The sequence below is a fragment of the Homo sapiens genome, chromosome 4 (assembly GCF_000001405.40).
Source record: "Homo sapiens chromosome 4, GRCh38.p14 Primary Assembly".
Classification (NCBI taxonomy): domain Eukaryota; kingdom Metazoa; phylum Chordata; class Mammalia; order Primates; family Hominidae; genus Homo; species Homo sapiens.
In genome coordinates, this window is record NC_000004.12 from 39,894,738 (window position 1) to 39,907,076 (window position 12,339).

At 38.6% G+C, this 12,339-nt stretch overlaps 1 protein-coding gene across 7 annotated transcripts in view; it reads right to left on the reverse strand.

Annotated features, from left to right (window-relative positions):
• The window catches only part of PDS5A (PDS5 cohesin associated factor A), a 155,049-nt gene that overhangs the window by 71,875 nt on the left and 70,835 nt on the right, over nucleotides 1-12,339 (reverse strand). For 6 of the 7 annotated variants that reach the window (XR_001741185.2, XR_001741188.2, NM_001100399.2 and 3 more), the window contains 5 exons: nucleotides 9,303-9,454; nucleotides 7,610-7,723; nucleotides 5,689-5,770; nucleotides 4,040-4,088; nucleotides 3,652-3,791 (listed from right to left, as the gene is read on the reverse strand). Coding sequence is in view for 5 of the 7 variants with exons in the window: in NM_001100399.2 (NP_001093869.1) it covers nucleotides 3,652-3,791; nucleotides 4,040-4,088; nucleotides 5,689-5,770; nucleotides 7,610-7,723; nucleotides 9,303-9,454 (537 nt within the window). In the remaining 2 variants the exon portion in view is untranslated. Of the gene's footprint in view, nucleotides 1-3,276; nucleotides 3,792-4,039; nucleotides 4,089-5,688; nucleotides 5,771-7,609; nucleotides 7,724-9,302; nucleotides 9,455-12,339 lie in introns of those variants that run through there. The other variant, NM_001100400.2, reaches the window with a different exon arrangement.

Here is a 12,339-nt window from a genome sequence, read left to right on the forward strand (position 1 = left end):
TACATTTCTCTTATTTGTCTCTATAAGCCTGGTCCCAAGCATAGTACTTGACGTTTATGTCTAACATTGTGAGAAGGATTATTTATTTAAATCCAATAGGGCAGTGCAGGGCCCTTATACAGAGAAATACATACCCTCCCCCTGCCCACACACACAAAGAATTATCCATCACTCAATGGTGGAGACAGATTTTGAGAAATGTGTTGTTGGCCAGGCACGGTGGCTCACACCTGTAATCCCAGCACTTTGGGAGGCCGAGGCGGGCGGATCACGAGGTCAGGAGATCGAGATCATCCTGGCTAACATGGTGAAACCGCGTCTCTACTAAAAATACAAAAAATTAGCCGGGCGAGGTGGCAGGAGCCTGTAGTCCCAGCTACTCGGGAGGCTGAGGCAAGAGAACGCAGTGAGCCAAGATCGCGCCACTGCACTCCAGCTTGGGCGACAGTGAGACTCCGTCTCAAAAAAAAAAAAAAAAAAAAAAAGAGAAATGTGTTGTTAAGGCAATTTCATCATGTGAACATTAGAGTGCACGCACACAAACCTAAATGGTATAGCGTACTACTTCTATGCTACAAAATTGTACAGCATGTTACTATGCTAAATACTGTAGGGAACTGTAACACAGTGGTATTTGTGTATTTGAACATTATCTAAACACAGGGTAAAAATATAAAAGATAAAAACACAATATAAACCATATAATAAAAATGCCATATAAAAGATAAAAAACAGTACACCTACATATAGAGCACTTACCATAAATGAAGCTTACAGGACTGCAAGTTGATCTGGGTAAGTCAGTGAGTAAGTGGTGAGTGAATGTGAAGAAACAGGACATTACAGTACACTACTGTAGACTTTATAAACACTGTACACTTAGGCAGCACGATATTTAAACACTTTTTCTTTCTTCAATGATAAATTATCCTTAGCTTTTTGTAATATTTTTACTTGATGAACTTCAAGGGTTTGTTTTTGTTTGATTGTTTGTTTTTGAGACAGAGTCTCGCTCTGTCGCCCAGGCTGGAGTGCAGTGGCATGATCTCAGCTCATTACAAGCTCCGCCTCCCAGGTTCACACCATTCTCCTGCCTCAGCCTCCAGAGTAGCTGGGACTACAGGCGCCCGCCACCATGCTCAGCTAATTTTTTTTTTTTTGTATTTTTAGTAGAGACGGGGTCTCACCGTGTTAGCCAGGATGGTCTCGATCTCCCGACCTCATGATCTGCCAACCTCGGCCTCCCAAAGTGCTGGGATTACAGGTGTGAGCCACCACACCTGGCCCGGTTTTTTTTTTTTTTAGCTTTTAAAAAAATTTTTGGAGACAGGATCTTGTTCTGTCACCCAGGCTGGAATGCAGTGGTGTGACCATAGCTCACTGTAGGCTTAAAATCCTGGGCTCAAGTGATCCTCCCATCTTGGCCTCTGGAGTAGTCAGGACTACAGGTGTGCGCCACCATGTGCAGCTAGTTTTCTTTAATGTTTTGTAGAGGCGGGGGTTTTGATATATTGCCCAGGTTGGTCTCAAATTCCTGGCTTCAAGTGATCCTCCTGCCTAGGCCTCCCAAAGTGCTGAGATTACAGGTGTGAGCCAATGTACTGATCTTTTTTTTTTTTTTTTTTAGCTTTTTGACTCTTTTGTAGTAACACTTAGCTTAAAACACATTTTGTGTACAGCTGTACACAAAATGGTTTCTTTCCTTATATCCTTATTCTACTAGCTTCTTCCTATTAAAAATTTTTTTGGCTGCATGTGGTGGCTCACACCTGTAATCCCAATATTTTGTGGGGCTGAGGCAGGTAGGTTTCTTCAGCTCAGGAGTTCCAGACCAGCTTGGACAACATGGAGAAACCCTGTCTCTACAAAAAATAAAAAATTAGCTGGGCATGGTGGCATGTGCCTATAGTCCCAGCTACTCAGGAGATTGAAGGGAGAGGATCACGTGAACCCAGGAGGCTGAGGATGCAGTGGGCCATGATAACATCACTGAACTCCAGTCTGGGTGACAGAGCAAAACCCTGTTTAAAAAAAAAAAAAGAAAGTTTTAAAACTTTTTTTTGTGCAAAACTAAGATACAACCACATACAATAGCCTAGGCCTACGCCAGGTCAGGATCACCAAGATGTCACTAGGTGATAGGAATCCTTCAGTTCCGTTATAATCTTTTTTTTTTTTTAATGCTTTAAGTTATGGGATACATGTGCACAATGTGCAGGTTTGTTACACAGGTATACATGTGTCATGGTAGTTTGCTACACCCATCACCCTGAGTTCTGTTATAATATTATGGGACTCCCAAAATACATGTGGTCTTATCTTTGGCCAAAATGTTGTCATGCAGTATACCATTTTAGATACATCAAGAATCTTTTGCCTGGGTGTGTGGCTCATGCCTGTAACCCCAGCACTTTGGGAGGCCGAGGTGGGTGGATCACCTGAGGTAAGGAGTTCAAGATCAGCCTGGCCAACATGGTGAAAACCTACCTCTACTAATAATACAAAAAATTAGCCAGATGTGATGGCTCATGCCTGTAATCTCAGCTACTCGGAAGGCTGAGGCACAAGAATCGTCTGAACCCAGGAGGTGGAGGTTGCAGTGAGGTGAGATAATCACTTGAAGGAGTTTGAGACCACCCTGGGCAACACAGAGACAAAAATTTTTATTTTTTCCTTTTCTTGAGACAGTCTCATTCTGTCACTCAGGCTGGTGTGCAGTGGCATGATCTCGGCTCACTACAACCTCCACCTCCCGAGTTCAAGCAATTCTCCTGTCTCAGCCTCTTGAGTAGCTCAGATTACAGGCATGTACCACCACACCTGGCAAATTTCTGTATTTTTAGTAGAGATGGGGTTTCACCAAGTTGGCTAGGCTGGTCTCGAACTCCCAACCTCAGGTGATCCACACGCCTTGGACTCCCAAGGTGCTGGGATTACAGGTGTGAGCCAATGTGCATGGCCTCCAAAAAATTTAAAAACTTAGCTGGGTGTGGATGCGTGTGCCAATAGTTCTAGCTATTCAGAAGGCTGGGGTATAGGATCACATGAGCACAGGACTTTAACGCTGTAGTGAACTATGATTGTGCCACTGAACTCCAGCCTGGGTGACAAAAGCAAGACTATCTCAGGAAAAAAAAAAAAAAAGCTGAATAAATGAATGCATAAGTTTTCCCTCCTGATAGCTTTAAGAATATTGGTTTTAAATGAGTTCAAGAGAAGAATGAAGACAAAAGTCTAGATAGGAATTTACTTTATCTGTAAATGAAACCAGATATATGGCAATGTTACTACTACTAATTTATTGACGATTATTTCCATTCTAATACATGAAAGAAGAAAATGCACATGTACACAAGCATTCAGAAAATACTTATCATTACTCAATGAATGTCTACTAAGTTCAAAGTACTTTATCTTGTAAAATTCCTAAGACCAATCTCCCTGGCTTAGTTCTTTAGTTATTTTCCTGGAATGTGGCTGAGAGTGAATGGTAAATAGAGAATTAACTTGACAATAGATATACTCCAAAGTAATTCAGAGCTCACAATATTGTTACATTTACACAAATCACTGTATGTAAAACAGGCTTTAATAAAATACATATTTCTGTAAGTAAAGCTAGAGAAAAAGTGTGAAGTATGATTTACTAACCACACAAATATCTGCTTGTTTGCAAGAACAGGTTGGGCTAATTAATAACTCCAACTGAGACCGAAGTTTCTCATCATCGCCGAGAACCTGGTTAAATTTCTTCACAAAATCTTGTGCTTTCCCGGGGTCAGGCAAATTCTCTATAAAATTAAAAGAGAATCAATATTAGAGAAGGAAAAAAAAAAAACTATTCTACTAAGCTAAAAACAGGTGCCATCAAAATATTGCGGAGCCACTAAAAGAAAATCAGCCTAGCTGGTTCTTAGAAACAAAATTAAGATAAAGATTATTTTCTTTTACTTAACATTAAATCAGTAGTCCCACTGGGTAAATACTTTGTCTGCATTTACGTTTACTACATGTTTAGTGAGTAAATAAACATACTCACTTGCTATGGTCATCAGTTTTCCAAACATGGCAGAACAGTTAGCCTCTGACTGAAATTTAAAACAGAAACAAAAGAACAACTAGTCATATGTGTTAACAAATTTCCCTAACAAAAATCAATACTCATTACTGTACATTTTTCATGACGTTAAAAAATAAAGTTCATCACAGTCTGCTCAATGGAAAATGGTTTTACCACATATATACGCTAAACTAACAACAAAGAATTACATAGTAGCAACTATTAAGACAAATAGAAGGAAAGGAGATGTTGGGAGGAAGGTACTTAAAAACCCACAAGTATATAACTTTCACAGGAAAGTTACATTGCCAGAAGATTGAAAAAAGATCAATGAAGCAATCAACATATAAACTTATCATATCAGAATTACTATGAAACTACATGCCACAAAAAATTAACTAAAAATATAGAGAAGAAACTTTTTTTTCTGCAATAGAGTTCTGTTAGCTACTTTGTGGCCCGTTACTTAAATACCTTCAGGAAAACCTCCTTTCTAAAACGTACTTCCCTTTCCTGTATCCCATAAAACATTACTTATTAGTTTTCATTTATACTAAATTTGAATAATTTAGTTCAAAAGTTAGAAAACTATGCCCCCATGAGCTACCTGTTTTTGTTAGTAGTTTCGATGGAATATAGTCATGTCCATTCATTTATTTATCGTGTATGACTAATTTTGCAAAGGCAGGGTTGAATATCTGACCACAGACTCTATGCCTTGCAAAATATGTTTTTGCTATCTGTTGATTTATTTTCAAAGTTTGCTAGGCTAGGTGCAGTATCTCACACCTGTAATCCTAGCAATTTGGGAGGCCTAGGCAGGCAGACTGCATGAGCCCAAGATTTTGAGACCAGCCTGGGAAACATGGTGAAAACTCACCTCTACAAAAAACATACAAAACCTAGCTGGGTATGGTGGAGCACACCCGTAGTCCCAGCTATTCAGAAGGCTGAGGTGGGAGGATCACCTCAGCCCAGTGACATCGAGGCTGCAGTGAGCTGTGATCATGCCACTATGCGACAGCCTGGGCAACAGAGTAAGATCCTGTGTATTAAAAAAAAAAAAAAAAAAAAAAAAAAAAGTTTGCCCGCCCCTGTTCCAGCATCCATGTGTCCTTGAGGGGTCTGTTTATATGGTCCCCTGGTTAAGAACACCTATTCTAGTGAACACACGTAAAAATGTAAAGTTTTTTTCCCCAACCTTGCAAAAATTTAATGGCATTTCTTTTTTAGTTTGCCATTGGCATATTTATAGGATTGATATCTGATATTCACTCTACACTGAGAGACCATGAATCATGCAGTGAAAAAGAAATATGATGTTTAATGTAATTTTATCTCAAAATTTAATTCTAATTATTTGAAAATTGATTAACTATAAACTCTTAGTGTCTGAAAACTTTATATAAACTAGAAAACACCATTTCTTTGCTCACACTAGAAAATAAGAGTTTGTTATATTTATTTTAAATGGAAATTTAGCTTGGACAACTACAGAAATTATATTTAACTGACATTTGGAAAATAAAACAACTGAGATACTTTTTCCCTGCTTCATTACGTAGAACTACAGAAAATCTGAACAGTGACTATAATAAACTATGAATTTAAACAAATCATGAACCTACTGTAGGCTGCTTGTGCAAATCCAATAGTTCGCGTACATGGCTCCGAAGCATGTTCTGACACTTCCACATTTCGTTGAGAGCTCTGTAAAGTTATGAATATGAAAACACACATTACATAACAATACTGGAAATTATTCAGCTTTACAACCTTTCTTGTTGCATGCTGTATATACACCATTCTTCTACATCTACCTAAAAGTTTAAATACCGGGAAATATATTTATTAGGATTTAAAACAATTTAGTACAAATGGTAAATATAAGCCTTCTTATGAGAGAAAATATTTGAGAGGTTTAGAAAGATTAATAAGTAATACAGGGATTGAAAGATGTACTAAATACAGGTAGCTAGAAAGTTTTGGTACAAGGAAAGAAAATCTCAAAGTGCAAGGGACATAAAACAAACTGAAAAACATGTATACGCTTGGAGCACAAGGCATGTGTGTGGAGCATAAGGAAGCTGGAGCATTCCACAGACACAGATCAAATCATGAAGGCCTTATTAAAAAGGCTAAGGCATATACATGAAGCACTATAGACTATTTTGAAAAATGAAGTATCAAAAATGATGCAGATTCAAGATGCCAAATTTACATTATTGTGTTTATTCTAAACTTTTCTCTCTCCAGGAACACAGATTTTCTTCTCTCAGAAATCCCATCCATATTTCCAGGTGCCCAGATGACCTCTGAGAATTACTAATCTCTAAACACTCTTTGTCAGATATTTTGAAATGTAAACAAACATCAAAACCTTAAGCAAGGAAAGGGATTAGTAACCATGATACAACACTATCGTAATAGAATTTCTGCCAAAATGACAGTCTTTTTTTCTTTTCTTTCTTTTTTTTTTTTTTTTTTTTGAGACAAGTCTCACTCTGTTGCCCAGGCTGCAGTACAATGGGATAATCTCGGCTCACTGCAACATCTGCCTCCTGGGTTCAAGCAATTCTCCGGCCTCAGCCTCCCTAGTAGCTGGGATTACAGGCGTGCACCACCATGCCCAACTAATATTTTTGTATTTTTAGTAGAGATGGGGTTTCACCATGTTGGCCAGGCTGGTCTCGAACTCCTAACCTCAAATTATCTGCCTGCCCTGGCCTCCCAAAATGCTGGGATTACAGGGGTTAGCCTCCACGTCCGGCCTAAAAATGCAGTCTTAATCTAATAATGCAGGAACACTTGAAGAAGCCACAATGGCAAACAGTCAAATTCCTAACTCAAAATTCTCTCTCTTTTTTAAGACAGAATCTCACTACATTGCCCAGGATGGTCAAGCTTCTAGGCTGAAAAGATCCTTCCATCTTCAGATCAGAATTCTTAATGACATCACTCATTTACTTTGTGTATTTTTGACAAAAATTACATATACGATGGTGTACAACATAATATATGTATATATTGTAACATTTACTTTAAAAAAAAAATCTATTAAAGTGAAATGACCACACATCCTGGTTGGCCTGGGACAGTTTGATTATGCTATTTAAGTAAAAATATCAATAGTGATCCCTTTCAGTCTGAAAATAATCCAGTTGGACCATTAATCATATGGCCATCTTACACAGAGAAGATCTGAATATGTTCACCCAACAAAGAATCAGTATTCAGTTATTAGGCTTAATATTTAGTCTGGAAGGATAAAGCACCAGTAGTTTTAGACACTAGCCACAGGTATTTTGACGTGGTCATTTATTTGAACACCTGAAACCATCCTACTACTGACCTGGCTGCCAAACAAGCCTACACATATAAGAATAACCTGAACATAAATCGTAACATTTTGTCTATAAATATTTACCTGAGGTTCTTGATTCAACTATAGAAGCAGCAACAATCCAATCAATAACAACTAATTAGATAAGATGAAGTAATTTTACGAAATCCTTAGAAAATACAGCAGTTATTTGAAAAGTAACTTACTTTACAGCATTTGGATCCAAACTAGCATATAAGTAATATAAGCATTTCATTCTCTCTTCTGTTTCCAGGTTGTGGGGGACAAGATACTGAGCAAAGATTTTCTCTACCAACAGTCTAGGAAATAACAACAACAAAAAAAACCTAAGTGACACAATTATTCCATTTTTAAGAAGCAATTTTTTTTTTTTTTTTTGGAGACAGGGTCTTGCTCTGTCACCCAGGCTGGAGTACAGTGGTGCAAACTCGGCTCAATGCAACCTCTGTCTCGCAGGTTCAAGCGATTCTCCCACCTCAGCCTCTCCAGTAGCTAGGACTACAGGCGCGTGCCACCATGCCCAGCTAATTTTTATATTTTTTGTAGAGACAAGGTGTCCCTATGTTGCCAAGGCTGATCTGGAACTCCTGAGCTCAGGCAATCCGCCTGCCTTAGCGTCCTGAAGTGCTGGGATTACGACGGGCATGAGGCACCACACCCAGCCAACATTTTAAGTTTTAACCATCTTATGCCAGGATACCATATCAAGATAATAGCTATGTGTGCACATACAATGGAAGATATCAGTTTATAATGACTTCCTTCTTGGAAAGCTTTCAGTACAGTTTAACTTTAGAGACACGGTTACTGTCTGTGGCTTTATAATTTGTCAGTATGAAACATTTGTTCTAGAAGGTTTAAATGTTATTCCTAAACACAGGGTGCTAGGCTGTTCCGCCTATTCTTCTTCAGCAGTCTAGAACAAAAGCAAATTCATTAACGCAACATATAAAGCTATGATCCGCGGTAGAGCTAATTCTCAAGAAACTCATTAATTTCCTCTGATTACAGTTCAGCCCATTTTCCATGTTGTCACATAGTTAAAAACAGGGGGACCCCCCTTCATATTACTTCCAGAAAATGTAGTTTTTCCTGTGTACATCTGATTATTGTTCTCTCCATGATCTAAATTCCTTACCAATATTGGAATATCCTTCTTGCTAGTACCTATTGCTTGTATCTTCTTGCTTCTATTATTTAATATCACTGGATTAAGAATATACAAGATCTCTTAATTAACAAATGAAATACATATCCAGTGATGCCAGAGAAGTTAGTTTAATTAAACAAAACAATGGAAACTATTCTGCACACACCAAGTATCATTTGTACGATCCAATATAGAATTATAAGTAATATTCAGAAAATGAAAACAACTTAGTAATTCCTCTATTGGTAGTGGTGTAAAAAGGAAAGTAACTAGCAGTTAACTCAATAGTGCTCTCTTGCCACACATTGGGCTAGGATGCTTTATATTCATTATTTTATTTAATCTACATGATAATCCTGTGGGAAAGGCACTATTATTTTTCCTTTTTATATAAAACTGAAGCGCACAAGACCTTAATGAACCTATGTAAGAATACACATCTAATAAAGGGCAGAGTGAACATTTGGTCTCTAACTCCAAAGTTCATGCCTATTTCATATTATAAGGCTACCTTATAATCGTGGACAGTCTTGTTTAAACACAGTACATAAAAATATGTAAAAAGCTATCTCTAAACTTAGAAATAAATGATTAATCAAGTTGAATAAACTTAATTTTATTTATGAAGTAAATACATAAAAATAAGAAATTACTAAAATATTAAATAGACATTTTTTAAGTAAAAAGTAGTTTTACACTCAACCATTCTACCAACATATTAAACTCACTTGTCGTCAATGCTGTTCTGATAATAAATATGCAGAAGTTTGTCCTTTATCCAGCTGACTTTCTCTGCAGCTTCCTTTCCTGCTTCACCATGAAGACAGTATTTCTTATAAAGCTGAGCCAGACCCATCATAGCTTCTTTTCTTACTCGCCACTAAAAAGCATAAAATTTATTAGATGAGCAAGATAACAAAACTCTGTACTAATCTCCAAAGACTGCCTTGGCTTCATTAGGTTGTACAGTCTTATGTGTGCCTTTATAAACTGGCACACTATTTCTCTTCAAAAGAGGCTTTACAAACAATTTTATTTTTTTTTTGAGACGGAGTCTCACTCTGTCGCCTAGGCTGGAGTGCAGTGGCAGGATCTTGGCTCACTGCAAGCTCCGCCTCCCAGGTTCACACCATTCTCCTGCCTCAGCCTCCCAAGTAGCTGGGACTACAGGCGCCCGCACGCCCGGCTAATTTTTTATTTTTAGTAGAGACGGGGTTTCACCCTGTTAGCCAGGATGGTCTCGATCTCCTGACCTCATGATCCGCCCGCCTCGGCCCCCCAAAGTGCTGGGATTACAGGCGTGAGCCACCGCGCCCAGCCTACAAACAATTTTGAATCTGTTCCTATTTAGAAATTTTCCAATGCAAATATTGCTAAATGATCTACTTTTTTCTTTTTAAAGAAATGGGGTTTCGTTACGTTGCCTAGGCTGGTCTCAAATTTCTGGGCTAAAGTGATCCTCCTGCCTTAGCATCCTGAGTACCTAGAACTACAGGTTACTGATTTTTTATTTCCCTTGAAAACTATTAATAACCTTATGGGAGAGTTCATTTGATTCTATTGAAAGAAAATTCACCAAGTTTTAGAAGTGATTATAATTCCCCTTGCAAACAAAACCCCTATTATCTGGAATGTTTTAATTGCCAGTTACATCCCTTTAGATGTTAACTTCGGATAAGAACAAAGTTCACTATCAAGAATTCTGGGCCAGGCATGGTGGCTCATGCCTGTAATCCCAGCACTGTGGGAGGCCAAGGCAGGTGCATCGCTTGAGCTCAGGACTTGGGGAACTGACTACCCAGTGAATCTAAAATCCTAGTAAATCTAAAATTGTAGTGAATCTAGGAGTTGAGCTGGCTGACTAACCAGTGAATCTAAAAATATGCTCACAAGCTGACAAAACCTGCCCACTCAAACAGAGCTTCCAATCAGCTGTGCAGTGAGTCAGTTAAAAATCTGACCAAGGGCGGGCATGGTGGCTCACACCTGTAACCCTAGTACTTTGGGAGGCCGAGGCAGGTGGATCACCTGAGGTCAGGAGTTCGAGACCAGCCTGGTCAAAATGGTGAAACCCGGTCTCTACTAAAAACACAAAAATTAGCCGGGCATGGTGGCACGCACCACTAATTCCAGCTACTTGGGAGGCTGAGGCAGGGAAATCACTTGAGCCTGAGAGGCGGAGGTTGCGGTGAGCCAAGATTGCGCCACTGCACTCCAGCCTGGGCGACAGAGTGAGACTCTGTCTCAACAAAAAAACAAAAAACAAAAAACTGACCAACTATTCAAGGATCATCAGACCTTTGAGGAACGCTTTCAACAGTAAAGAGAGGGACCAAAACAAACAGGCCAGAGGAGGAAAACAGGACTCAGCAGAAACAGAGATAATACAGGCAGTAAAAGACACTTCCAAACATTCTCAGGGAGATAAGATTTTACACCATAAAATAAGACTCAATGCCTCTGACGAAGAAAGGAAGGAAGATAGGGAGAGAGGCAGGGAGAAAAGGAGGGAAGAAAGCAAGGAAGAAGAAAAGGAAAGGAGGGAAGAAAAAAAGGAAAGGAGGCAGGGAGAAAGGAAGTTAGAAAAATTAATGATTCAATCTGAGGAAACTGATTTAAAAAATAAAAAAGAAAAGAAAAACAAAGACAAATTAGATAACAAGAGGTGCTTTTGGAAATTAAAAATGGAGATGAAGTAAAAAAAAAAAAAGATAAGAAAATTAAACTATCAGTCCAAGAATTTCAACATCAAATTAAAGAGTTCCCAAAAGAGAGAACAGGCTCACGCCTGTAATCTCAACACTTTGGGAGGTGGAGGTGGAAGCAGGCACAGATCCCTTGAGCCCAGAAGTTCGAGACCAGCTTGGGCAACATGGTGAAACCCCGTCTCTACAAAAAATACAAAAATTAGCCAAGTGTAGTGGTGCACACCTGTAGTCCCAGCTACTTGGGAGACTGAGGTGGGAGGATCGCTTGAGCCTGGGAAGAGGAGGGTGCAGTGAGCTGAGATTACACCACTGCACTCAAGCCAGGGCAACAAAGTGAGACCCTGTCTCAAACAAAAAAAAAAAACCTTAGTGATCACCGTAAGTGAACTTCCTTACGTTGCAAACCTAAAAGGCAAACGATTTAGCTAGTTGGCAGAAGATTCTTTGGGACTTTTAGAGGTTGGGAAGGTTTAATAGGGTAGGAAAGAAAAGTTGTAAGAGAAGAGACAGGAAAGGAGACCATAAAAACTTAGAATGAGGATCATCATAAGATGTAAGAAAAATAATAGTAAAAAAAAATCTGTGTATTAAAAAAAAAAAAGCAGCAGCAGCAGCAGCTGAGTGTGATGGTGGGAGCCTGTAGTACCAGCTATTCAGGAGAATGAAGCAAGAGGATCACTTGAATCCAAGAGTTCAAGTTCAGCCTGGGTAACATAGTAACACACCACCTCTAAAAAAGAGGGGTGGGTGGGAGTATATTATCTTTGGTGTATTTAAGTCAATACTTCTTTATAAATTTTTTTGTATCATTTTCTCATTTTTTAGGCCCCTTATTAGATGGAATAAAACTTTGTTCCTATGTAACAGGTTAGCAAAAGCCTTTTGAGATTTCTTACATAAAAAAAAAAAAAAAAAAAAAAAAAACAAGCAATAAAATCTTAAGATGAAATCCTGTTCCCAAATTTCTAGAGGCTATAACCAAGGACATCTAACTTATTAAACCAAAATATGGGTCAGAAAATATCCAGTAGGTGTTACTGTTACCACACCATACAGT